This window comes from Homo sapiens, chromosome 4 (assembly GCF_000001405.40).
Source record: "Homo sapiens chromosome 4, GRCh38.p14 Primary Assembly".
Taxonomy (NCBI): domain Eukaryota; kingdom Metazoa; phylum Chordata; class Mammalia; order Primates; family Hominidae; genus Homo; species Homo sapiens.
In genome coordinates this window covers 152,457,029-152,484,025 of record NC_000004.12, presented here as the reverse complement: position 1 = coordinate 152,484,025, position 26,997 = coordinate 152,457,029, and the positions used below count along the sequence as shown (strand labels likewise).

The 26,997-nt window shown below is 36.0% G+C and overlaps 1 protein-coding gene across 13 annotated transcripts in view, besides 1 other annotated feature; it reads left to right on the top strand.

Moving 5' to 3' along the window:
- Window positions 1–26,997, top strand: part of FBXW7 (F-box and WD repeat domain containing 7) — a 215,549-nt gene that overhangs the window by 52,067 nt on the left and 136,485 nt on the right. The window contains exons 4-5 of one of the 13 annotated variants that reach the window (XM_047415897.1): window positions 1,353–1,656; window positions 14,038–14,085. The exons of 10 other annotated variants lie outside the window; for them this stretch is intronic. The gene's annotated coding sequence lies outside the window, so the exon portion shown is untranslated. The remainder of the gene's footprint in view (window positions 1–1,352; window positions 1,657–14,037; window positions 14,086–26,997) is intronic. 2 more of the 13 variants (XM_024454123.2, XM_047415898.1) reach the window with 2 other exon arrangements.
- Window positions 21,684–21,733: an enhancer, noted in NCBI's record as "active region_22030". NCBI's record gives its function as "activates an Ori minimal core promoter by ATAC-STARR-seq in GM12878 lymphoblastoid cells {active_cell/tissue: GM12878}" and the evidence as "EXISTENCE:reporter gene assay evidence [ECO:0000049][PMID:35858748]".

Sequence of the window (26,997 nt, the reverse complement as noted above, 5' to 3'; positions counted from 1 at the left end):
TTAATAGCAATTCTAGTCAAAATAGCTGTTTTATCTTTTGAGAAGTTCGGGAAGTTTGACAATCTGATTGTCAAATATATGTTGTAGAGTATGTTAATGAAACTATCCAGTGTAAAATTTAAAAATAAAGACCAGTATTGTTATATTGTACTGTATTGCTTGCTATACTGTAGTGGTGTAGTAATTAAAACACCATTCTAGTGATACAGGAATAGGGTCCAAATAAATAAAAACTGAGAAGGAAATTGTATACACATGCAAGTGTGTGTGTGCACACACACACACAACACAGAAAGGGTTTTTTTTTGTTTTTTGTTTTTGTTTTTTGGAGACAGGGTCTCACTTTGTTGCCCAGGCTGGAGTGCAGTGGCATGATCATGGCTCATTGCAGCCTTGACCTCCCAGGCTCAAGCAATCTTCCCACCTTAGCCTTGTGAGTAGCTGGGACTATGTGTGCCACTGTTTCCAACTAATTTTTGTACTTTTTGTAGAGACTGGGTTTTTCATGTTCCCTAGGCTGGTCTTGGACTCCTGGGCTCAAGTGATCCTTCACCTCAGCCTCCCAAAGAGCTGGGATTACAGGTGTTAGCCACCACGCCCAGCCTCAAAAAGCTTTTTTTTTTTTTCCCTATAAAGAGCCATATATCTAAAAAGGGAAACAGATTTGACTCTATTACAATGGAATTCTGTGAGAGAAAACATTTTAACAAGATCAGACTATCTAGTAGAAAAATATTTGTAACATATAGCAAAGTTTTAACAAACATAATAAAGACCTTCTAAAAATTAATAAAATTGAAAAAATGGGTTATGAATAAGTACAAATAATTCAAAGAGTGTACACAAATTAGTTTTCATAGAAATATGCATAAAGATATATGTACAAGTATGTTAATTTTAGCATTATTTATAATACCAAATAATAATATTCCAACAAAATAGTTGGAATAATCTGAATGTTCACCAGTAGGGAAATGGTACATCTGTATTTTAGAATATTAGCAAGCTGATTAAAAAGAATAAGATCTTTGTGACCAGGTATGGCAAAATATCCCACATTATTCATGAAACTATAGAATGATCTGTGTAGTATGATCTCATTTACTTAGCTCAGTAGGTCTATTGTTTGTGGTAAACTTAAAATTATTTTATTTATCTTATAGGATAGGGACTTTTAAGTTAACCTATTAATATTATTAGGAACTAAAATATATCACTGTAAGAGAATAAAGACAAATATAGAATAAAAGGAACTAAGAAAAATATTTTACATCAGATTAATTGGAAATATTGGTATGAATCCATGAGTAAATAAAGAAATATCTCTCCCCCCACCCTGTTCTGTCTACCAGAAAATATAAGAAGCATGGACAATCTCAGTAGCAATGGTTACATGCATCTTGGTTGCTAAATATGGCTCCCCATTGAAAGAATTCAAGATGTCTTAGAAAAATAGATGATCCCAGTTCTTAGGAAAACACACAGCAAGCCAGAAAACAAGGAAGTGGTGAAAAACTGAGGAATTATGTAAAAAAGAACCAACTCAAAGGAGTTCTAGTGGCCACCTCCGAAATAATGATTGCAATCACAGGCATATCTTGGAGATGTTGTGGATTCGGTTCCAGACCATCACAATAAAACAAATATTACAATAAAGTGAGTCACACACATTTTTGTTTTCCTAGTGCATATAAGTTATGTTTATACAATATTGTAGTCTGTTAAGTGTGTAATAACATGTTTAAAAAATGTACATGCCTTAGTTTAGAAATACTTTATTGCTAAAAATTGCTAATAATGATCAACTGAGTTTTTAGTGAGTTGTTCTAATCTTTTTCCTGCTGGAGGGTCTTGACTCGATGTTGATGACTGCTCGCCAGTCAGGGTGATAGTTGCTGAAGGTTGGGGTGGCTGTGACAATTTTTAAAAATAAGACAGCAATGAAGTTTGTTACATCAATTATTCTTTGATGAAATATTTCTCTGTAGAATGTGATGTTGTTTAATAGTGTTTTACCCACAGTAGAAATTCTTCAAAATTGGAGGGCAGTTCTCTCAAACCCTGCTGCTGCTTTGTCAACTAAGTATGTAATATTGTAAATCCTTTGTTATTATTTCAATGATGTTCACAGCATCTTCACCAAAAGTGGATTCCATCTAAAGAAATCACTTTCTTTGCTCTTTTTTATAAGAAGCAACACCTCAGCCATTAAAATTTTATTTTGAGATTTCAGCAATTCAATCATGTTATCAGGCTCTGCTTCTAGTTCTCTTGCTATTTCTATCACATCTGCAGTGATTTCCTCCACTGAAGTCTTGAGCTCCTCACATCCATGAGGGTTGGGATCAACTTCTTCCAGAGTTCTGTTAATGCTGGTGTTTTGATCTCCACTCATGAATAATGAATGTTTTTGAAGGCGTCCAGATTGATGAATCCTTCCCAGAAGGCTTTCAATTTACTTTGCCCACATCTATCAGAGGAATTCCTATCTATGACAGCTATACCTTTATGAAATATATTTCTTAAATAATAAGATTTGAAAGTCAAAAGGGCTTCTCAATCCATGGCCTGCTGAATGGATGTGGTGGTAGCAGGCATGAAAACAACATGAGTCTTCTGGTATATCTCCATCAGAGCTCTTGGGTGACCAGGTGCAATGAGCAATGTCAGTGAGCAATGAGTAGTATTTTGAACGGAATCTTTTATTCTGAGCTACAGTCTCAACAGTGGACTTAAAATATTCGGCAAACCATGTTGTTAAATAGATGTGCTTTCATCAAGGCTCTGTTCTGTTTGTACTGCACAAGCCAGAGTAGATTTAGCTTATTTCTTAAGGGCCCTACAATTTTTGGAATGATAAGTGATCATTGTTCCACTTGGAAGTCACCAGTAGCATTGGCTCCTAACATGCTGAGTCAGCCTATCCTTTGAAGTTTGGAAGCCAGGTATTGACTTATCGTTTCTAGCTAGGAAAGTACTACATGGCTTCTTCTTCCAGTAGAGAGTTATTTCATCTCAATTGAAAATCTGTTGTTTAGTGTAGCCACCTTCATCAGTGATCTTAGTTAGATCTTCTAGATAACTTGCTGTAACTTCTCCATCAGCACTTGCTGCTTCATCTTGTACTTTTATGGAGACAGCTTCTTTCCTTAAACCTCATGAAATAACCTCTGCTAGCTTCAAACTTTTCTTCTGAAGCTTCTTCACCTCTCTCAGCCTTCATAGAATTGAAGAGAGGACTTTGCACTGAATTAGGCTTTGGCTTAAGGGAATATTGTGGCTGGTTTGATCTTCTGTGCAGAACACCAAACCTTTGTCCATATTAGCAGTAAGGCTCTTTCTTGTTCCTATTATTCATGTGTTCACTGGAGTAGCACATTTAATTTCCTTCAAGAACTTTTCTTTTCCTTTTTTAACTTGGTTAACTGGCACAAGAATCCTAGCTTTTGGCCTATCTTGGCCTTCATCATTCCTTCCTCACTAAGCTTAATTATTTCCAACTTTTGATTTAAAGTGAGTAATGTGTGACTCTTCTTTTCACTCCAACACTTAGAGGCCATTGTGGGGTTATTAATTGGACAAATTTCAATGTTGTTTTGTCTTAGGGAATAGGGAGGTCTGAGGAGAGGGAGAGAGATAGGGATTGGCTGGTGGTTGGAGCAGTCAGAACACATGCAACATTTATCAGTTAAGCTTGCCATCTTCTGTGTTTGTGATTTGTGGTGGCCCAAAGCAGTTAAAATAGTAACATCAAAGATCACAGATCACCATAACAGATACAATAATAATGATAAAGTTTGAAATATTGTGAGAATTACTAAAATGTGATACTGAGACACAAAGTGAGCACATGCTATTTGAAAAATTGCACCAAATAGACTTGCCCAATGCAGGGTTGCACAAACCATTATTTTGTAAAATCCACAATATGTTTGAAGTCCAATAAAATGAAATGCAGTACAAGGAGGTATACCTATAATTGTAAAACCTTTGATTGAAAAAAATAATCCATGAGTCCAGAGAGATAAGAAGAAAAGGAAGGCCCTCCTTTAGAGAATTGTAGTAGCAGTGTTAGAACTGGAAAACTGTACTGTAAACTCCAAAGAAACAATCTGTGCCAACAGCATCAATGGATGCCAAAACCTTTAGGTGTAAGAGTGCTGTGAACATGATACGTATGCAGTGGTGCCCAATTATTCTGTAAATCTTGTACGACTACAAAGGGAAAATGTGCCTTTGCAATAGATCTATAGATTGCCACTTGAACTAAGTGGTCACACTTATAATGGGACAGCCTGATACCATGTTCCTTTTGTTATGATATAATGCGGAATGATGTAACCTTGGGTGTATTCTTGCCTAATGTTTATCTACAATCCAGTCAGGTTTCTAGACTTGATCTTGTTTCCAAGAAATACAGGAAGTTGTGGAGTAAGTCAGAATACATTCTGGGAAGCAGTCAGACAAATCTAGGATGTGGGACATTCTGTAAGAAAACTGGCCATGAGTCCTGACACATCATTGTCTTAAGAAAAAGATATGTGTGTGTGCGAGAGACTATTCTAGGACAGGCGAGACCAAAGAGATTTAACAGGCAAATGTTATACATAAATTTTCATTTGCCCTTGGATTGCTCTCTCAACCCTGAAGGCTTAAAAATAGATATCTTTGAGACACTTGAGAAAACATCAAGATACTAGCTTACCTTATTTTTACTTTTTTTTGACTAGATGTCTTAATGGTTTTATTACTTTGTAAGACTTGTTTTAAAAGATATGTTTCACTACTCAGTATAGTCTATGATAAAATCAGTAAATATAAAATATTTGTCATTTGCATCTCTTAGGAGGTTCGTCTCCATTGATGAAAGCTCAGCTTATGTGTAACTGTCTTCCAAAGTAGCTTGCTTGGAAGGACATTCACTATCATCATATTCTGCTTTATTTCATAGCTGTGTAATCACATCTACTACATCCTTGTTTATCGTTTATTAGATTACTGCTTTTAAGCCTATTTTAGTTCTTTAATCTGAGAATAACAGTTGACTCAGTTAATTTCATTAAAGCAAGATTGCCTGTAATTTTTTTATAACCTTAGAAAAGTACTATGCCCAACAGCAAAACAAAAACCTAATTCAAAAATGGGTAAAGGACTTGAACAGATATTTCTCCAAAGAAGATATAAAATGGCCAATAAACACATATGAAGAGTCTCAACACCAGTAGTCATTAGAGAAATGCAAATCAAAACCACATTTAGATACAATTTGGCTATTAGCAAAGACACAGAAAATAGCAAGGATTGGGAAGGATGTGGAGAAAATTGGAACCATGCCTGCACTACTGGTGGGAACGTAAAATGGTACAGCTGCTATGAAAGACAGTTTACCAGTTCTTCAAAAAGTTTGATGTAGAATGATTGTATCATCCAACAATTTCACTGTTAGGCTTATCTCCAAAAGAATTGAAAGAAGGGACACAAACTGGATAACTTATACAGCAGTGTTCATAGCAGCATTACTCATACTAAATAAAAGATGAAAAAGGCCAAATGTCTGTGAACAGATGAATGGACAAATGTGTTTATACATATAGTAGAATATTATTCAGCCATAAATACAAATGAAATTTTGGTACATGGTACAACATAGATAAACCTTGAAAACATTGTGCTAAGTGAAATAAGCTAGACAGAAAATATTGTATGATTCTACTTAGATGAGATACCCCAAGCTGGCAAATATATAAAGCTGGCAAGTATAATAGAAGTTACTAAGGCCTAGGGTGAGGGAGGAATGAGAAGTTTGCTTAATGAGTATAGAGTTTCTATTTGGAATGATGAAAAGTTCTGGAAATGAATAGTGGTGATAATTGTACAACATTCTGAATGTACTCAATGCTACTGAATTGTCCATTTAAAAATGGCTAAAATAGTACATTTTATGTATATTTTATGATACAAAAATATTTTTAAAGTAAAAGTTTGTATTTTGATGTTACTTGTGAAAAATATTTTCACTAATAAAATTTTGTTGTTTCATTGCTGCCTCTTTGAAAATGTATTAAAAATTATATGCATTTTGAAATATTACAGCTATATAAATGAAAAAGAGTATCAGTAAAGAATTTTAGCTCAATACTCTCATATCATGTTATTTATTGTCCTTTCTGTTTCACATTAAGATATACAGAGTCAACAATTTAAATTTGCAGATTAAAAAACACTTTCTGCTTTTGGCCCTATAGAAATAAACCAAACTGGAAAAGGTGTCATGTTTCCTAGATTGTGGACACAGAAAAAGAAGAGCTCAAAAGGACAAGTAACTCAGCACAGTAGATGGTTATTGACCTGATCATATTTAAGAATATCCTAAAAATGCAAAAATGTTAAGAAGCAAAACTGGGAAATACTGGGATGATATATGAAAAATTCAAATGACAAATATGCAGTGGTTGAGTATTTATGGGTTTTTTTGGGGTTTACTATTTTTTCCCCCAAATTTAATGTCTCCTCTTTTAAATACTTCTACCGGATTCTCTTTAGATGATGCTGCAATTGGATTGAGACATTTTCATTGTTTGGCTTTGTAAGATTTCCAAATGCGTATAGTTGTTAAAATACGTATTCAATGAGGGTGGAAGGAAACACACAAAAATAGAAGTATGTCACTCTGGTAAGAGATGATAGGTCCGATGACTGCTAATACTTTTCCAAATGGCCTTATTTGGATCCTTCTTAGAACTTTTATATTTTTCTAATATTGACCTACCCCTTTGGAACTAGAGTCCCATTGTCAAGAACTGTGAAGAATCTTGACATTTTACCCTACTTGCAAGCTAGCAGTTACTCAGTTGTAGTTTTATGGATGGTGGTTAAAGATATGAGACTCCTGAGTTGGAGTTGAAGGACAGTTTATTAGTGCAGCAAGCAGTAGCAGTGACCAGAGTATTAGCTTCCTTTTTTTTTTTTTGCCGCTTTTCCAAGCCCTGGTTCCCATATAGTAGTGTGAAGAGGAGGGCTACATGATGCTTGTACACACTGTGGATTGCATAACAGATGCGGAATCCTCAGCTTCTTACAGAATCTGAATAGTAGTGTATAATAGGAAGTAAGAATGCCTTTCTTTGCTTTGGAGCAAGATACTGTCTTTGTCTCCCAACACTATTGCTGTAAAAGTATCCTCAAAAGGATAGTGCAGACCAAAAGGGTAGTTGAGTGTCTTGCTCCTAAGAGGTGCAGAAACATGAGAGTCTCATAGAAAATTGTCTCCCAATAATATTTTCTGCTCATTTCTATACTATTTTGTCTTAAGGCAAATTTTTTTCATGAGTATACCACTCTGATTTATCTGACAGAAGATAGTGAAGTATCTGTTCAAATAGTTAGCTGGCTTTTAAAATCAGGTTATTTGCTTTCTTATTGTTGAGTTTGAGAGTTCTTTCTTGATTCTGGGTACAGTCCTTTGTCAGATGTGTGATTTGCAAGTATTTTCTCTGAGTCTGTGACCTGTCTTTTCATATTCTTCAATCTCTTTTACAGAACAGAAGTTTCTAATTTTGATTACTATCAGGTTTTTCTCTTATGAATTGTCTTAGGAACTTTTTGCCTAGTTGAAAATCACAGAGTTTTTTTCTTTGTTTTGTCCAGATGTTTTATTATTTTGTGTCTTACATTTAGATCTGTGATCTGTCTTGCATTACCTTTTGTTTGCATAAGTTATGAGGTAGAGTTCAGGTTCATTGTTTTTGCGTATGGATATTTACTTGTTCTAGCACTATTTGTTGAAGAGACTATCTTTTCCTTCGGTGAACTGCCTTTTTACCTTTGTCAAAAATCAATTGCCCTTATTTGTAAGTATATTTTGCTGGATTTATTATTCTGTTTTGTTGATTTCTGTGTGTGTCCTCTTGCTAATACATCATTGCCTTAAATAGTAACAGTTTTATGGTAGTTATTGAAATTAGTGTTCTCAAATTTTGTTCTTTTGCTGAATTGTTTTGGATATTATAGTACCTTTGCATTTTCTTTATAAATTAGGAATCAGCTTGTTGATAGCTACAAAGATACTTTGAGATTTTGATTGGTGTTATGTTTAATGTACATGTCAGTCTGAGGAGACTGACATTTTGCCAATATTGAGCCTTCCAATCCATGAATATAGTTATTTTTCCATTTTTTAGGTCTTTGATTATTTTCATCAGTGCTTTATAGTTTTCAGCATGCAGATCCTGCACATATTTTGTGGAAGTGTATCTTTTCCAGATGCTATTGTGAGTGCTACTGCTTTAAAAATTTTTGATGTACTAACTTATTGCTGATATATAAAAATATGGTCGATTTTTACATATTGATTTTATATTCCACAACTTGTTAAAATCATAATCATAAAACCCTTTGGATTTTCTATATAGACAACATGCTTTTGAATAAAGGCTGTTTTACAAAATTTCATTTTAAATTTGTATACCTTTTATTTCATTTCCTTTCTTAATTGCACTTGCTAGAGCTTTCCAGGACAATGCTGAATAGAGGTGGTAAAAACACATCTTTGCTTTGTTCCTGGTGTTTTATTACTCTTTTATTATTAGTGTTATGTTTAGAGATGGGGTCTTGCTCAGTTGCGAAGGCTGGAGTGCACCGGTATGATCAAAGCTCACTGCAGCTTCAAACTGTTGGGCCCAAGTGGTCTTCCTGCCCCGCCTTCCTGAGTAGCTGGGATTACAGGCATGTGCCATCATGCCTGGCTAAGTTTTTTATTTTTTGTGGAGATGAGGTCTTGCTGTGTTCACAGGCTGGTCTTGAACTCCAGTCTCAAGTGATCCTCCCACTTGTACTGGGATTACAGGCATTAGCCACCACACTTGGCCTCTTATTATCATTATTATTATTAATATATATAAATAAATATACATATATTTATTTATTGAGACAGAGTCTTGCTCTGTCAGCCAGGATGGAGTGCAGTGCCACAATCTCTGCTCACTCAACCTCTGCTTCCTGGGTTCAAGTGATTCTCCCACTTCAGCCTCCTGAGTAGCTGGGATTACTGGCGTTTGCTACCATGCCGGGCGTGGTGGCTCACGCCTGTAATACCAGCACTTTGGGAGGCCAAGACGGGCGGATCATGAGGTCGGGAGATCGAGACCATCCTGGCTAACATGGTGAAACCCCGTCTCTACTGAAAATACAAAAATTAGCTGGGAGTGGTGGCGTGCGCCTGTAGTCCCAGCTACTTGAGAGGCTGAGGCAGGAGAATCACTTGAACCTGGGAGGTGGAGGTTGCAGTGAGCCAAGATTATACTATTGCACTCCAGCCTGGCAACAGTGAGACTCCATCTTAAAAAAATGTTATGGGATGAAATTTTAAAAAGACCTTTGAAAGATACAAGATAATAGGATTCAATTCTGTATAAGGTAGAGATAAACTGTTGATTTGTACTAGTTTGATTTGTGAAATATTACAATTAGGCTAAATCAAATAGGTGATGGGTAATTTGAGAATTGATTTCTAATGCTTTGTCCTAGATCATTCAAAATCTGATGTTCACATAACTACTTAGAACTCTTGACTAGTTGTCTGTGCTTTTTAAAAACCTTTACCTGGCTGGCTACAACTTTTCTACCGCCATAATTAAAATTGAAAACAAAATAATTAGTCTCTTAGGAAAATAATTTACGAACACTATCTAAACATGCTAGATTTAAAACTACCAGTATTTACATGGTTAGAATTCATGAGCAGTCTTCATTAGACTTACTGCTGAATGACCAGCATACAGTCGCTGAATTCATTGTGCATCTTTTAAGGGAAGATTGTTTTGCTTGTATCTTTGCAGTCTTCTCTGAGATCTTTAATGTTACTAGAAGTTATAAAGTTTGGTTAATTTTCCTAATAAGCCTTTATCTGATTCTGTGGGCTATTTAGGTTTGGGATGGGATCTGTTGTCTTAATTTGGTCACCATTGGCTCTTGGCTTCAAAGTGGACCCTAAACTATATTCCTAGTCTGTCTAGTATTTGTCTTTTTTTTGCTGAGATATGTGACCCCTGGGGAGGTTTCCCTTATTTTCAATAAGTTAATCTTTCTCTTTTAGGAAGAAAAGACAAATTTCTCATAAGGGAGGGATTTTTTCCTTTTTTGTTCTAGAGTGCCTTTCAAATTAACAATTTTGTTCATATCAAAAGTTGCCCATAATGATCACTGTAAGTCTCAAGTTATTCTTGGTGAAAATATGCCATTTAGAAAGATAAGTATCTGAATTGGAAGAAGCATGTTTCATGCTTGGAGAGGTTGTGGAGTTAGACTGACTTAAAAAGTCAGTTTTGTGCAGCCTGGGCAACATAACAAGACCCAGTTTCTATGGAAAATAAAAAAAAAATTAGGCAGGCGTGGTGGTGCACACCTGTAGTCCTAGCTACTCCAGAAGCTGAGGTGGATTGCTTGAGCCCAGGAGTTTGAGGCTGTGGTGAGCTATGGTAATGCCACTGCACTTCAGCCTGGGCAAAAGAGTAAGACCTCATCTTTTAAAATATATATACAGGTTTTTCTTCAAAAGATTCCAAAGGTACTGCTTTAAAAAATGTAAGATTTTCTAAGCAACAGGGCCGAGTACTTTGCTTTAAAGTTTTTATGAATGCCTGGCTTGGCTATCTGGTTGCTTTTGAAATCAACATCTTACTAAACTATTAATGCTTTTAAAATGTGTGCAGAATTACATATTTGTAAATTTAACTTGAGTCTGTCTAGGAAAGCATTAGCAAGACTTTTGTTTTTGTTTTTGTTTTTGGAGACAGTCTTGCTCTGTCGCCCAGCCTGGAGTGCAGTGCAGGTCACTGCTCACTGTAGCCTTCACCTCCTGGGCTCATGCTATCTTCCCACCTCAGCCTCCTGAGTAGCTGGGACTACAGGTGTACATCACCACACCCAGCTAAGTAAAAAGATGTATTTTTCATAGAGACGGGGTCTCCCTATGTTGCCAGGCTGGGCATTAGCAAGATTTTACGGGAAATTTTTTTTATCATTAGTAGAAAATAATAAGGAATCCCTTGCTGGTAAAATTTATATTGAAACTACTCTTAAACATATTTATATAAAATGACCAGAGATATTTAATTTACCTTTATATAATAAATAGAAATAAATTGAAATACATTATTAGGAGATTCAGATTTTTTAATTAGTAAATTAGTGTGATGGCTTAAAGTTATTGAGAGGTAATTTTTCATCTTTGATTAGAAAAACTTAAAAATTGTATAATTTACATACACAAAGTATATATGAGCTTTTTATATTGATGAACTTTACAAAATGAACACACTTTTGTAACCACAACCCAGATCAAGATATCAGCTTCTCAGGAGCTTCCCTGTATCTGTCATATTCCTTTACATGAAAGGTAATTAATATTCTGACTTTGTAATTAGAGATTAGCTTGGCTTTTTTTTGAATTTTTATAAATCATAAAGTATATAAGACTATATGATTTATAAGTTTTTTCAAACTGGCTTCTTTCCCACAGCAGTATGTTTTTGAGATGGATATTTGGCTTACAGCATTTTTCATTTTCACTGAGGCTTAGGGTTTCATTGTGTGAATATCCTTAGTTTATTTCTCCCTTCTGCTGATGGACATTCAAATTATATCAATTTTGGGTTCTTACAAATAGTGCTGCTGTGATAATTCTCGTACATATTTTTTTGTGCATATATGTACACATTTCCATTGAGTGTATGCTCAGGGGTAGTATCACTTAGTCTTTGGGTTTATCTTCAGCTTAGTAGACACTTCCGAACAGTTTCCCATACTGTTTGTATTATATTATTATACATTTTTACCTGCAGTATTTTAGAATGTCAGTTGCTACAGATTTTTGCTTACACTTGGTATTGTCTTTTTTTAGATAAAAGTTAGTCATTTTGGAGGGTAGTAGTATGTCTTTGTGAAGTTTTGTTTGGTCTTTAGCCTATCTTAAAAATCGGTTTGTTTTTTTTGTTGAGTTGAAGTATTTTTAAAGAATATATTTTGGGTATGAGTCTTTAGTGGAACATGTGCATTGCTGATATTTTCTCCTACACTGTAGCTTGCATTTTCATTTTTAATTTATTTAAATTTTATTTTATTTTTTAAGAGACAGGGTCTCACTCTGTCACCCAGGCTGGAGTGCAGTGGCCTTATCATAGCTTATTGCGGCCTTGAACTCTTGGGCTCAAGCAGTCCTCCTGCTTCAGCCTTCTGAGTAGCTGGGACTGCAGGTATGTGCCACCACACCTGGGTAATTTTTAAATTTTTTTGTAGAGACAGAATCTCACTATGTTGCCCACACTAATCTCGGACTCCTGGCCTCAAGCAGTCCTCCTGCCTGGGTCTCCCAAAATGCTGGGATTACAGGTGTGAGCCACTGCGCCAGTCATTTCCTTCTTTCCTTCTTTCTCTCTTTCCCTCTTTCCCTCTCTCTTTCTCTCTTCCTTTCTCTCTCCTTCCTTCCTTCCATCCTTCCCTCCCTCCCTCCCTCCCCATTCCCTTCCCCTTCCCTCCCCCTTTCCCTCCCTGCTTCCCTCCTTCCTTCCCTCCTTCCTTCTCTCTTTCCTTCCCTCCTTCCTTCCCTTTTTCCTTCCTTCCTTCCCTCCTTCCCTCCTTCCTTCTCTCCTTCCTTCCCTCCTTCCTTCCCTCCCTGTAATTGTAATGAAATTGTTTGTTTGTAATGAAATTCAGTTTTTTTATGTGCTGTGTATTAAATCTATGCCTAAATATCGTGACAGTATTTATCTTGTCACTATATAAGCTTTATTATTTAAAATTTTATATATATAGGTCTCTAATATATCTTATTTTTTTTCCCACCTTTTCTGTGGCTTGTGGATAGATGTTATTCATTTTACTGATTTTGATTTTAACAGTAGTAGTCATAGAAAATCTATTGATGTGGCTTACTCATGAGAAAGCATTTTTATTTTTATATGTGATATTATAATTTCTAGTATGGCAACATTTTCTGCTAGTTATGATATGTGATTTTTACTCTGCAGATTCTTTAAGAGGAATTTAAAAACAGCTTTATTCCTGACTTTAGAGAAGGCAGTCAGTTTTACTTAATATGTCATTTTATGTCTTATTTGTTATGTTTTGTTTTTGAGGAGTCATACTGGTAGTTTAAAAATACTGAGTTTTATCATCAAATGCAGCTACAATGTTTAAGCAGATGACTTAATCTCCGTGAGGCATGAGGTGATTAAAAAATGTATGTATATGCTTTTTCAAATACAGAGTAAATTGCCTGGCAGACAAGAAGAGCTTCATAAATATTATTTAGTGCTTTTTATTCTAGATTTTTGAAATAAATTGGACTCGACTTGATGCAAAGGATTTGTACTATAAGTTTATTATAAAATTATTAACCGCTAGCTTTTGTAAATAGTAAAATTGATTTGCCCATTATACATTTCTTTTTGTTATGCATAAAATATTTTAATTTTTAAGTACCAACATAGGATGGATTTTTAAATGCTTCCTCATGTTAATTTTTTAATAAACATAGAATGAATACTGTGTGAAATATTTTCCCACTTTATTGGCTCTGTTTTAACTCAGTAGACTCTATAGTTAGATTGTCTAGGTGCCACTTAAAAGATGGTAACTAGATACCAGAATGTGTTACATTATATGTTGATTGTCAGGAAGAACTGAATGCATGAATGCTTCCCTAAGACATTGTTAGCATGCCGTGGTCTTGATCTATAATTTTTTGTCTAAGTTGTGATAGAGCTCATTCTTTACATGGTCTAGTAAATTCAGCCAATGTCTTTATAATTCATTAGCATCTCTATATATTACCTATAAAATTTAAATTATAAGGCTATGAAAAAATTGTTTCATATGTATAATATACCAAAGTTTTAGCATATGGTTTGGATTTTAAACTGTTTTACTGAAACAAATTACCGTCATTAAATGGAATTCTTAGGTAGACATTACAGAGTAGGTGTAACTCTGAAGTTGAAAATGGTTTCATCTTCTTTTTTAAAAAATTTTATTATATAGGGAATCTCAACCACCAGCAGGATTTTAAAAAGGCTATCTAAATATTTGGTAAGTAAATATTCTCCATGTTAAATATTTTGCGTGTTACTTAAGTTTACACATATGCTACATGAATGACATTTACAATAGTGAGTGTAAATTATAGTTATAATTAATATTTTAAATTTTACTTGGTTACTAGAATTTTTGTCTCCTTAAACCTATTCCAATCCTTTTCTCTCTTGTTCTTTATGTTGTGTCCAGAGATTCTTTCAGTGTACAGCCTTATTATTAAGAGTTCAAGGAAAGAAATGGTTTTAGTGAGCAGGAATGCTAATACTTTATGAATAAAACAGGATTTCCCCTACTTGAGATTTTGTAGTATTTCTTTTTTGTGAAAACACTAATACAGATTTGTTCTTTAGCCATCCATTGCTTGACTCCTCCTTGTATTTAGGTCCTGTTTGCTGCAACATGCCAACATGAACCAAATACTGTGGTCAGGGTCTATGCATTTCCTGTTTAGATTATTCTTTGTTCCAAGCTTAAAATATGAAAAATTTTGTAGGTGTCTGTAGTTAAGAATTTCATAAACTTATGATTTCATAGATAAAGCTTTTACTTTTTTATTTTTGAGTAAAGGTAGGTGAGTCAATCTCAGAATGTATTTTACTTCAACTACATAGTATTTTATACCTGTGTACTATGGTGATTATATAGATATAAAATGATTTGGTTAATCATAATAGATTTTAAAGTTATTAAATATGCTTCAGAATGGGAAAGAAGTGCTGAGACATTGCATAATGAGGTGTCATAGTATAGGCTTTTGGTTGTTTTTAATATAGTCAATAGCAGATTATTAAGGAGGAAATATTTAGTGATAAGCATTGGCTTCTTTTATTATACTTTTTAATGTGTTTGAAACAGCAAATATTTGACCAAATTATTTTTCTTAAATTTTATAGTAACTACAGTAGGTGCCTAAATGTTCAACAGTTATACTGTTCTGTTTACTGTAAATTTGTAATAAATATAAATACTTTTAGGAGCAAATGATGCCACAGAGATCTCTTAAACAGATTTTTACTACTTTAGAAGGTGGTAACTGATTTCTGGAGTTGTATTAAGTACAAAAGAGTAACTTATTGTCATTTTTTTCCCTATTGATGCGTATATTTGAGTTAGAGGGAAGCAGTCGTCTTTGTGTTATATGCTTATCATGTATATTTCATCTTAGCAAATTTATTAATTTTAGTGACAGTTTTATTGAGATGAAATTTATATACCAGGAGATTTCATCTCTAAGTGTACAATTCAGTGATATTTTAATATATTCACCAAGTTATGCAACTACCAGTACTTTGTAATCTTAGGTTACTTTCATCATCCTTCTTCTGGACGCCCTCTATCACCCAGCCCTAGGCAACCACTAATACACTTTCTGTTTGTATAGGTTTGCCTATTCTGGGCATTTTATAAAAACAGAATCATAAAATATTTGTCCTTTTGTGTCTGGCTTCTTTAATTTAGCATGATATTTAAAGCTTCACTCATGTTGTAGCATGTATCAGTGTTTCATTCATTTTTGTGGCTGAATATTTCTTTGTATATCATTTGTGTATTCATCAGTTAATGAGTTGTATCCACTTCTTTTTTTGGCTATTAGGAGCGCTTTTCTGTGAACATTCTTATATAAGTTTTGTGTAGATACGTTTTTGAGTATATATGGATGGGGTGGGATTGCTCGATAATATAGTACCTGTGTGTAACTCTTTGAGGAACTCTCAAAATGGCTGTACCATTTTACAATACCACCAACAATGTATGAGGATTGTAATTTCTCCACGACCTCATAAACACTTATTGTCAGTCTTTTGTATTTCAGCCATTCTAGTAGGTATGAAGTTGTATCCCATTGTGATTTTGATTTGGATAATGACTAATGATAAGCATCATTTCACATGCTTATTGACCATATATCTTCTTTGGAGAAATATCTGTTCAACTCCTTTGCCCATTAAAAAAAAAAAGATTATCTTTTTAATGTTGAATATTGTAAACATTCTTTATATATTCTGGAAACTAGTCCCTTATCACATACATGATTTGCAAATATTTTCTCCTATGGATTATCTCTTTACTTTTATGATGGTGTCCTTTGAAGCAGAAAAGTTTTAATTTTGAAGTTCAGCTGATCTGTTTTTTGTTGCTTGTTCTTTTGGTGTTATATTGCAGATTTGTTTTTAAATAAATACTCACTGATAGCCTGGGTCTATGACAAAGTTTTAATCGTCATAGGACTACGAAAAAGCATTGGCATTTCTTGTGTTTGACAGTCAAAGCCCAAAGGAGGCAATTATCCTTGTATTTGTGCTTCAGTTCCTCAGCTAATTGTTTTAAGCAAAACCTTACGTTTTGATCCCATGTGTTACTGTGAAAATATTAGCTGTGTGTGATATGTTTATTGATATTAGTCTTGTGAATTTATGTTTAGTTTTTTTTGGATTGAAGAAGGGAGGGGCCATCCTTAATAGATGTTATTAGTCCGTTCTCACGCTGCTGATAAAGACATATACCCAAGACTGGGTAGTTTATAAAGGAAAGAGGCTTAATTGACTCACAGTTCCTCAGGGCTGGAGAGGCCTCAGGAATCTTACAGTTGTGGCAGAAGAGGAACCAAACACATGGTGACAGCAAGGAGAAGTGCAGAGTGAATCGGGGGAAAAGCCCCTTATAAAACCATCAGATCTTGTGGGAACTCAGTCACTATTATGAGAACAGCATGGAGGTCATCATCCCCATGATTCGATTACCTTGCACTGGGTCCCACCACAACACTTGGGGATTGTGAGAACTGCAATTCAAGATGAGATTTGGGTTTGGACACAGCCAAACCATATCAATAGTTTATTATGACAATTACTGCATATTTTATTTCATAGTTTAAGAAACCATTGCTTTTTAGACTAAGGATTATCAGGTTCTTATCTTTCTTGTGAAGAAGGAATAGATTTTGATAATCTCACTGATTTTAATCTTGTACAGATTATTATTATTATTATTTTGAGACGGAATCTCGCTCTTTCGCTCAGGCCAGAGTGCAGTGGCGCGATCTCAGCTCACTGCCAGCTCTGCCTCCTGGGTTCACGCCATTCTCCTGCCTCAGCCTCCCGAGTAGCTGGGACTACAGGTGCCCGCCACCGCGCCTGGCTAATTTTTTGTATTTTTAGTAGAGATGGCATGTCACCATGTTAGCCAGGATGGTCTCGATCTCCTGACCTCGTGATCCGCCCACCTCGGCCTCCCAAAGTGCTGGGATTACAGGTGTGAGCCACCACGCCCAACCCAGATTATTTTTAAGCAATGATATTTTGGTGTTTTTGTAAACTTATGTATGGAATATGTAAGTTTTTCCTCTATTAAGTAAATGTCTTTAATTTTTTTTTTTTTTTGAAATGGAGTCTCGCTCTGTTGCCCAGGCTGGAGGGCAGTGGCACAATCTTGGCTCACTGCAACCTCTGCCTCCCGGGTTCAAGTGATTCTCATGCCTGAGCCTCCCGAGTAGCTGCGATTACAGGCATGTGCCACCAAACCTGACTAATTTTTGTATTTTTAGAAGAGACGGGGTTTCACCATGTTGGTCAGGCTGGTCTCAAACTCCTGACCTCAGGTGACCACCTGCCTCTGCCTCCCAAAGTGCTGGGATTACAGGCTTGAGCCACTGCGCCCAGCCAGTGTCTTTAATTTTTAAGGTACCAATTTAGTTCCTTATTTTTTATCGTTATGTGACGTTATGTGATCAGTTGAAGGTGTATTTCATGTATTTTGACCTATAATGTTGTCTAGTTTAGTTTCTGGAGAAATGGTGTGTAACAGTGGAATGTCACTTGTCTTCAAAGCATTAGCTTTCTGTGTAAGGTTGAGGTTGTAATATAAATGCGCTAGATGTGTTTTTATTAGGGGAATTGACTATTCTTACCTTTCATGTTATTTGACAGTATTCTTTGTCAACTTCAAATAACGGCCTATTTTGATGAGATTTTATAGTGCTAGGATCACTGATATTCTTGTTAGTTGATTTAAAATCATGGTGTTCATTGGCTAACAGTCACTTGAGTGGCTATTAGATGGGTAATATTGTTCTCTTTTTTTTTTTTTTTTTTGAGAAAGAGTCTCACTCTGTCGCCCAGGCTGGAGTGCAGTGGCATGATCTTGGCTCACTGCAACCTCTGCCTCCTGGGTTCAAGCGATTCTCCTGTGTCAGCCTCCTGAGTAGCTGGGATTATAGGCGCATGCCATCATGCCCGGCTAATTTTTGTATTTTTAGTAGAGATGGGGTCTCACCATGTTGGACAGGCTGGTCTCTAACTCCTGACCTCAGGTATCCACCCACTTTGGCCTCCCAAAGTGCTGGGATTGCAGGCATGAGCCACCGCGCCTGGCCAGATGGGTAATATTGTTCTATACATTGATATTCTTATGGTTTATGTTATAGTATTCATGGAAATTTAGCAATGGAAAAGGAAATGAAAAACTTATTAATGATGTTGTTAAATTTTCAATTGTGATGACAGTAAGGAAAAGACATAATTGAGAGCTACCTCCAATTGTTTATATCAAATGTGGTAATTAAGAGGATTTTGGTGACCTATTTATGGCTGAATTAAGGCAAAATAGCTTTTATATCCGATTCTTTCCTCTTCCCTTCTCTTGTTCTGTGTGCTTACTATCATAATAATTGAGTATACATTAATTTTCTTTAAGTATTTATATTTTAAATAAGGTTTTGATGTCAGTAGAGACTTTTTTTTTTCCTTGAAGGTAAGTACCCTTTAAACCACTAATTTGTCACTAGAGTCTATAGTCGCTTCCATATATAATAGGTAGCACAGCTTCTCAGGTCATGTCCTGCTTTGCTGCTCTGCTGACCAATAATACACCTTGGAGATACTGGTTCTGGTTATATGAATAGAACAATTAAATTGTTCTTCATTAGATGGATCTTTGATTACTAATCTTACTCAGAAAGGCTCAACTGGACTTGGATTATTCTAATTGCCAATACTGTTTTTGCACAAATGTCTGCAAATCATTGAACAGTAATACTGACCCCTTTTTCTTCCAATAAAGTTATTGCAGTAATCACATCATTGCAGAGAATATTTCTTAAAAGCTTTTTTCAATATTTACTTCTTTAATGAAAAACTTAATCCAGATTAAGCCACATACATAGACGTCTTGACTTTATTATTTTGAATACCTGAGATTTCCAAAATCTCTTTAACTGTCTTCACACAATTTCTAGTCTGTCATTTTAATTAATTACAACTGTTCATTTCTTCTGCTTTTGTTTCCTCTTCATGTGCTGCCTAGCGTTGCTAGAGTTTCATCAGTTTCCTGCCTTGAGAGGTTTCTAGTACAAATTAACATTTTCCCTTCCTAGTTTATGCAGGTTCCTTCCTGGTAATTTTTATCTTTTTGATCTGTTTCATTCTGCATGTTAGTTATTTGGAACCATTCTACTGTGCTCAAATGAACAGTCCTATCCCTAGTTCTCTTATTCCTTTTTCATTTCATATTTTATACCCTTTTTCCTCAGTCTGTCTTAAAGAATAAAGTGTTTTCATTTCAAAAGCTTATTATCTCTGTTTTTAATCTTAGCCCTTCTTTCCTCTACTATTTTTCTTCCTCTTAATGCTCCATGCTGGGTTCTCTGCCTTATCAGACTTAATCTTGAAAAGTACGTTACTTCCTTCCCATTATCTCCAAGGTTGTTATAGTCCATTCTAGGTGTCTCCAATTTCTCAACTCTTACTCAATTACTTTCTGAAGTTTGACTATTATTTCTACTAGTGTTCAGCTTTCTTAAGTGTAAGTAAACACATTTCTTACTTAACTAGGTAGATAAACATTAGCTGGACGGATCTGGCCGTAAACATGCTATTATTTCCAAGATAAAACTGAGTTCCAAATGGCTAAATCTTTGTCTTTTCACTTTTCATCCATTCCTGTCTTTTTTAGCATTTGTTTTTTTGCTGCTTAACATTCACTTCTCCTTTGTCTTCTGTAATAAACCTTAATGGTTTTTCTCCTCTCTCTGGCTAAATGTTTGTTTTCTTTGTTACTGCTTTCTTCTTTTATATACCACTTATATATAAATTGGGTTGAAGCTTTGCTCTTAGCTCTTTTTCATTACACATCATTTTGAGGAGATGGTCTCGTGTTCATTATGTAGATTATCACAAATTTGATGACTCAGAAATACCACATTTTTCTTAGTGACCTGTTTTACCACTTTCTCAGTCGCCAGGTCCTTAGCACCCCAAAATTGTTATTTCCCAGTGGAAAGTTTGTCTTGTACAATGCTTGCTATATGGTTGGAACTAAGTAAATGCTTTTTGAATCATGAACTAACTCCTTATCTGTCTTTTTTTTTCTTAAGATAATGGTTTTAACTGTCCACCTATTCTCATGTCACAAGCCCTGTAATATCTCTGACCACTTCTTGTCTACACTTGTTAATATTAGTTGTCATATTTTGGTCCTAAGTTTGACTAATGAGGAAGATGACATTTTTGTCTGCAGATGGTGGAAATAAAAATCACAGAGATTGTGATTTCCTTATGGTTTTGTGGGTAATGGTGGAGTTTAAACTTACAACGAAGTTTCTGGTGACATGTTTCCTAGTTTTCACAGAAAACATTCTTTTTTTTTTTGAGACAGAAAGTCTCACTGTGTCGCCCAGGCTGGAGTGCAGTGGTGTGATGTGTCGGCTCACTGCAACCTCTGCCTCCTGGATTCAAGTGATTCTCATGCGTCAGCCTCCAAGTAGCTGGGATTACAGGCGCCCACCACCACGCCCAGCTAATTTTTGTATTTTTAGTATAGATGGAGTTTCACCATGTTGACCAGGCTGGTCTTGAACTCCTGGCCTCAAGTGACCCACCTGTCTCAGCCTCCCAAAGTGCTGGGATTACAGGCATAAGCCACCACACCCAGCCAAAAACATTCTTTATAATGATACAAGTAATATACCAGACAAGAAATTACTCAGTGTACTATGTGAGATTAAAAAAAAAAAAAAAAAAAGACTGGAAGTGGAAGTGGGAGTACTTCAAATTCTTGTCTGATGAGGTAAAGATTTTAACTTGGTGGAAGGAATAGAAATCAAGGATGTGAGAAATTTTTCATTAATTAGAATTTCGAGATTCTTCTTTTAAGAATGCAGTGATGCTAGTGAAGTGGTTGAGTGAACCATCTTTCAGCTAACAATTATAAGATCTGGACAAAATATTGAAAGAAAAACTTTAACTGTTTTAAAAGCCATGGAAAGTAACCAAAAAAGCAAAGCCAGATGAGAGCCTCCAACTGCAATGTGTAATTGTATGTTTGTGGCTTTCTTGCCTTATGGTGCATTTTCGCCTCCTGTCTTTCAGTGGCATAGGAAAGAAGTTACGGGTAGCCTGGCAGTTGGAAATTTACTCAGGGGAATCATGGAAGCAATAAGTAAGATCCAAAATCTGAGTGTAAACTCTGTCCAAATCATGGCTAATCACGAAACTATACATGCATAGGGGAGACCCCAGGGGACCCAGTGTAAAAACAGGCAGAAACAAGAGCGGAATCTGCTCCTGAAAGAATTGAACCCTGTGAGATTTGTGATTGCTTCTTTTTTTGACAGTACATTTCTCAACTTGCATGCAATTTGCGTGGCCAACAGCTGGCTTGAGGTATCAGAGCACAGAACATATTGTTGACAGAAGAGTTAAAATTTAGGGAACAAACACTGAAAGCAAGATAACATCAGAGGATGTAGGCCACACATCTCAGTATAATCTCTGCCCATTTCCTTCACTGACCACCAGACTACCCAGGTGCAGAGGGGATGCCCTGGGCATCAGGTTAGAAGAAGGAAGCAGCTGGAAGGTGAAAGAACTAAGCAAAATCATTGTTGCTTACTATAAGGGAGACACACAGTAAGTCCTCACTTAACATTATTGATAGGTTCTTGGAATCTGACTTTAACTGAAACAACGTATAACAGAACATTTTTTTCTCATCAGTTGTATAACAAAGCAGTGTTAAAGGAAACGACAGTATTCAAGGACCTTGCTGTTTGTGTTTTGCTTCAAGTTGCTGTTTCCAAGACCTATCGATGGTATTAAGTGAGGACTTACTGAAGTTTGCAGTTTGAGTCCATACGAGCCCATTAGAATCATACAACATGAAAACCAAATGGTCCTTTGAAAGATTGCGACAAAATCTGGTTGCTATAACTTGCTATTTACAATGTGTATTTTCAACTAAAAATTATTAGATATGCAAATAAAGTGGAAATATGACTCATTTTCAGGTAAAGAAAATCATTCAATAGAAATTAACCCCAAGTATAGCCAGATATTGGATTTAGCAAGCAAGGACTTTAAAATAGCCCTAAATATAATCAGAAGAATTTAAGGAGTCCTATGTTCAAAGGATTAAAGAAAAATACAGTCACCCCTCTGTTTCCATGTTTCTGCATTTGCAGATTCAACCAACCGTGGATCAAAAATAGTTGGGAAAAAACATAATAAAATTTACAGTACAGCAATAAAAAATAATGCCAATAAAAAACAATAAAGTCTTGTTCAGTGAATAGATAGGAGATCAAAACAGAGAAACAGATACTGTAAAGAAGAAGCAAAAGAGAATTTTAGGGTTGAGATCAGTAACTGGAATGAAATTTTTATATTATATTTTATTTTATTTTATTTTGTGGTGGAGTCTTGCTCCGTCGCCCAGGCTGGAGTGCAGTGGTGCGATCTCGGCTCACCACAACCTCCGCCTCCTGAGTAGCTGGGATTACAGACATGCACCAACATGTCTGGCTAATTTTTGTATTTTTAGTAGAGACAGGGTCTCACCATGTTGGCCAGGCTGGTCTTGAACTCCCTCCCGACCTCAGGTGATCTGCCTACCTTGGCCTCCCAAAGTACTTTGATTACAGGCGTGAGCCACTGTGCTCGGCCAAGCAAAACAGTTGTTTGGAGATGGCAAAAGAATCAGTTAAAGATAGATTAATAAAAGTCATCTATTTGAAAGAGAAAGAATGGAGAAAAATAAGCAGAGTTTGAGAGACCTTTGGGGTAATACAATGTTTGAACATGCATCTAAATGGAGTCTCAGATGGGGAATAAATAATGGCTGAAAACCCCCACAACTTTGGTGGAAAGTATCAATTTACATATCCAGGAAGCTCAGCAAACTTCAAGCAGGATAAACACACACAAAAAAACAGATGTTAGCACATAAGTGGTCAAATTGCTCAATACCAGAGAATTTCTTGAAAGTAGCCAGAAATATCTTACCAGAAACAATGGCGACCTCTAGCCATGGATATGGTATATTCAGCTGAAAGGCAAAAAGCTATCAAATAAGAATTCTGTGTTCAGCTAGAAGTGAAGGTAAAATAAATACATGTTCAGATAAACCAAAACTGGGAAATTTTCACCAGCCAGCCACCATTGCAAGCATTTCTAAAGGAATCAATTTCAAGGGAAATGGCACCAGATGGCAAGTACCATCTACAGGAGGAAATCAACATCAAAACTAGTAAATACATAATTTACTCTAATTTTTATAAACTATATTTTTCCTTATTTTAAAAACAAGTACCTGTGACTTGAAGCAAAAATTATGATGCTGTATTGTTGGGTTTATAATGGAGTTTGGGAATTTACATATTGTACAATTTTTAATATGTAATGACATACAAATTAACGTGTTAATAGTCTTCTAACTTATGAACATGGTATATCTCATTAAGGTTATTGTTTAATTTTAGTAATGTATAATAGGTTTCTAAAAAACTTAAAAATGTGGTAAAATATGTACAAAATAAAATTTGCCATTTTAGCTGTACAATTTGGTGGCACAGTTGCATTCACAGTGTTGTTCGTTCATTACTACTTTTTCCAGAACTTTTCTATCATTCCAAACAGAAACTCTGTACCTACTAAGCAGTAATTTCCCATTTCCCTTCCCCGAGTCTCTGGCAGTGTCTAATCTACTTTCTGTCTTTATGAATTTGGCTATTCTGTATTTCATATATAGTAGTCCCCCTTATCCACAGTTTTGCTTTCCACAATTTTGGTTATCTGTGGTCATCCATGGTCTGAAAATAGGTGATTATAGCACAATAAGATGTTTTGAGAGACCACATTCATATAACTTTATTACAGTATAATTGTTCTTTTTTATTATTGTTGTTGTTAATCTTTTACTTTGCCCAATTTACAGATTAAACTAATAAGTATATATGTATAGGAAAAGACATAGTATATATAGAGTTTGGTTCTATCTGTGGTTTCAAGCATCCACTGGGGGGTCTGGAACATATGCTCTGTGGATAAGTGGGGGACTAGTGTACTTCCTGCCCTACCCCTTGGTTTGGAGTCGCTGCTGTATGAATATAAGGGCAGTCTGCCTGTGATGTGACTCTCCATTGATCACCTGGGTGTATGAATTAATTGCTGTCTATAAAGAGTCTTGGAATGACTATTGAGTTTGCTCTGTGTATGTATACATACAACAGTATGGCTACTGTTGTAGCTGATTTGGCTATGATACTGTAGTATCTTATTTGCTCCAAAGAGATGGAGTAGTGATGAAATCTGGTTTACTAGGTGGAAGCTAGTGTAAAAATGGGTACTCTGTTTTATTGAATTAGCTTGATTGGAAAAAGTGAAGTGCTGATGGTTTTGAAAATATGATGATAATGATGTCATCCTTCTGGTTTAAATATTTTGTAGCACTTGTGGTAGATTGAATGCTGGTGTCGGTAGTAAAGTCATGCTGCAGTTATAGTCTGAACCAGCTGTACTGTTTTGGGTAGTAACTTAGACAGTAGAGAACACCACTTTTCTAGGCAGGGCTCCTCACCTCTCCTAGGGGGCCATTTCACTGCATCTTGGAGTGAATATACAGAGAGGAAGTAGCTAGATCCTAATTTCTACAAGTTATATCAGTTGGGGAACAGTTGTGGTTGTCAACCTGTGTTAGGGCTGTATTGGTTTTGCTTTCAGTTGTGCTATAAAGTGGAAAAAATTGAATTGTTTATTTATCTCTTATTGTGAAACTTTCCTGTGGCCCATAGAAGTGGCATAGCAAGCTGAACATAGCTGGGTTTGTTCTTCATTGCAAGATCCTACCCCCACCTCCCTTTCTTTCCTGCCTGGTTTCTTGTGTCCATACTGCAAGCTCTTTTTCCCAGTTAGAAGTAAGTTAGTTCACTCTTAATAGAGCTGATTTACAAAGGAATTTTATGTGTGTCATACTGTTTGATTCTCTGAAAGGTAGATATGGGACTGTGGTAACAATCCAGCATGATGTTAACTGTGCTCTCATTTTTAAATGTGCAAATGGATGTATGTGAAATGGTGGTTTGTCTGATACAATATTGGCTGCTAAGACATGTCTGACCTAGAGCCTAGATGTGTTGGCTTCTTAATAATGCTGGATGATGTATATCTGGATCATTCTTTTTAATTGACTGAGATGATGCGTATCTTCTACCTCTTGAGAGTTAGGAATGTAAAGGGCAAGTGAAAAATTTGTTAGATGCTCTTAAAAGATGAAAATAGATGTGCTCCATCACTAGTATAGTTTCTTTTTGACCACTATGTCAACCTGTTTAGAAAGTATATTTTAGGCCGGGCGCGGTGGCTCACGCCTGTAATCCCAGCACTTTGGGGAGGCTGAGGCGGGCGGATCACGAGGTCGGGAGTTCAAGACCAGCCTGGCCAACATGGTGAAACCCCATCTCTACTAAAAATACAAAAATTAGCTGCGCGTGGTGGTGCGTGCCTGTAATCCCAGCTACTTGGGAGGCTGAGGCAGGAGAATCTCTTGAACCCGGGAGGCAGAGGTTGCAGTGAGCTGAGACTGCACCAGTGCACTGGCATGGCAACAGAGACTGCCAACAGAGCGAGACTCCATCTCAAAAACAAAACAAAACAAAACAAAAAACAAAGAAAGTATATTGTAAACATCAAATTAAAAGAATTTCCTGAAGTAACTTTTTTTTTTTTTAGTAGGGGTGGGGAAGATATGAGTAGAAGAGAAATGAATTGGAAACTGAGTACCACTACCCTTTTTCTTACCTTCTATCCAGAAATCTTTCTTAAATTCCACAGTATCAGTGTAACATCTTTTATCTTTTGAGCTGTCTTTGAGATTCTTTACTTTGTCTCCAGACTGTTTGTTAGGATTCTACTAGAGAAGTTGTTTTCAGATTTTAATTTCTCTGCTCCATTTTAATCTTCTAATTTTTTAATGAAAAAAAATCCAGTTTTATTGAGTTCTTTTTTTTTTTTTTTTTTTTTTGAGACAGAGTCTTGCTCTGTCACCCAGGCTGGAGTGCAGTGGCACGATCTCAGCTCACTGCAAGCTCCGCCTCCTGGGTTCACGCCATTCTCCTGCCTCAGCCTCCCAAGTAGCTGGGACTACAGGCGCCTGCCACCACGCCCAGCTAATTTTTTTTGTATTTTTAGCAGAGATGGGGTTTCACCGTGTTAGCCAGGATGGTCTCGCTCTCCTGACCTCGTGATCCGCCTGCCTCGGCCTCCCAGAGTGCTGGGATTACAGGCGTGAGCCACTGCACCCGGCCTATTGAGTTCTAATTAATGCATAATTTGTTGAGTTTTGACGTATATGTGCACTCATGAAACCATCACCACAATGTATATATCCAGTGAATATATACATCACCCTTAAAAGCCTCTTTGTAATCTCTTCACTCCCCACTTCGCAGGCAACCACTGATTTGCTTTCTGTTACTGTAGGTCAGTTTGTATATTCTTGAATGTTATGTAGGTAGAATCATATAATGTGTCTCCTCTTTTGTCTGACTTCTTTCAACCCTAGCTCAATATATTTGAGATTTGTCTATATTGTTGGATGAATGATCAAAACTTTGTTTTTGTTTTTTTAACTGGGGAA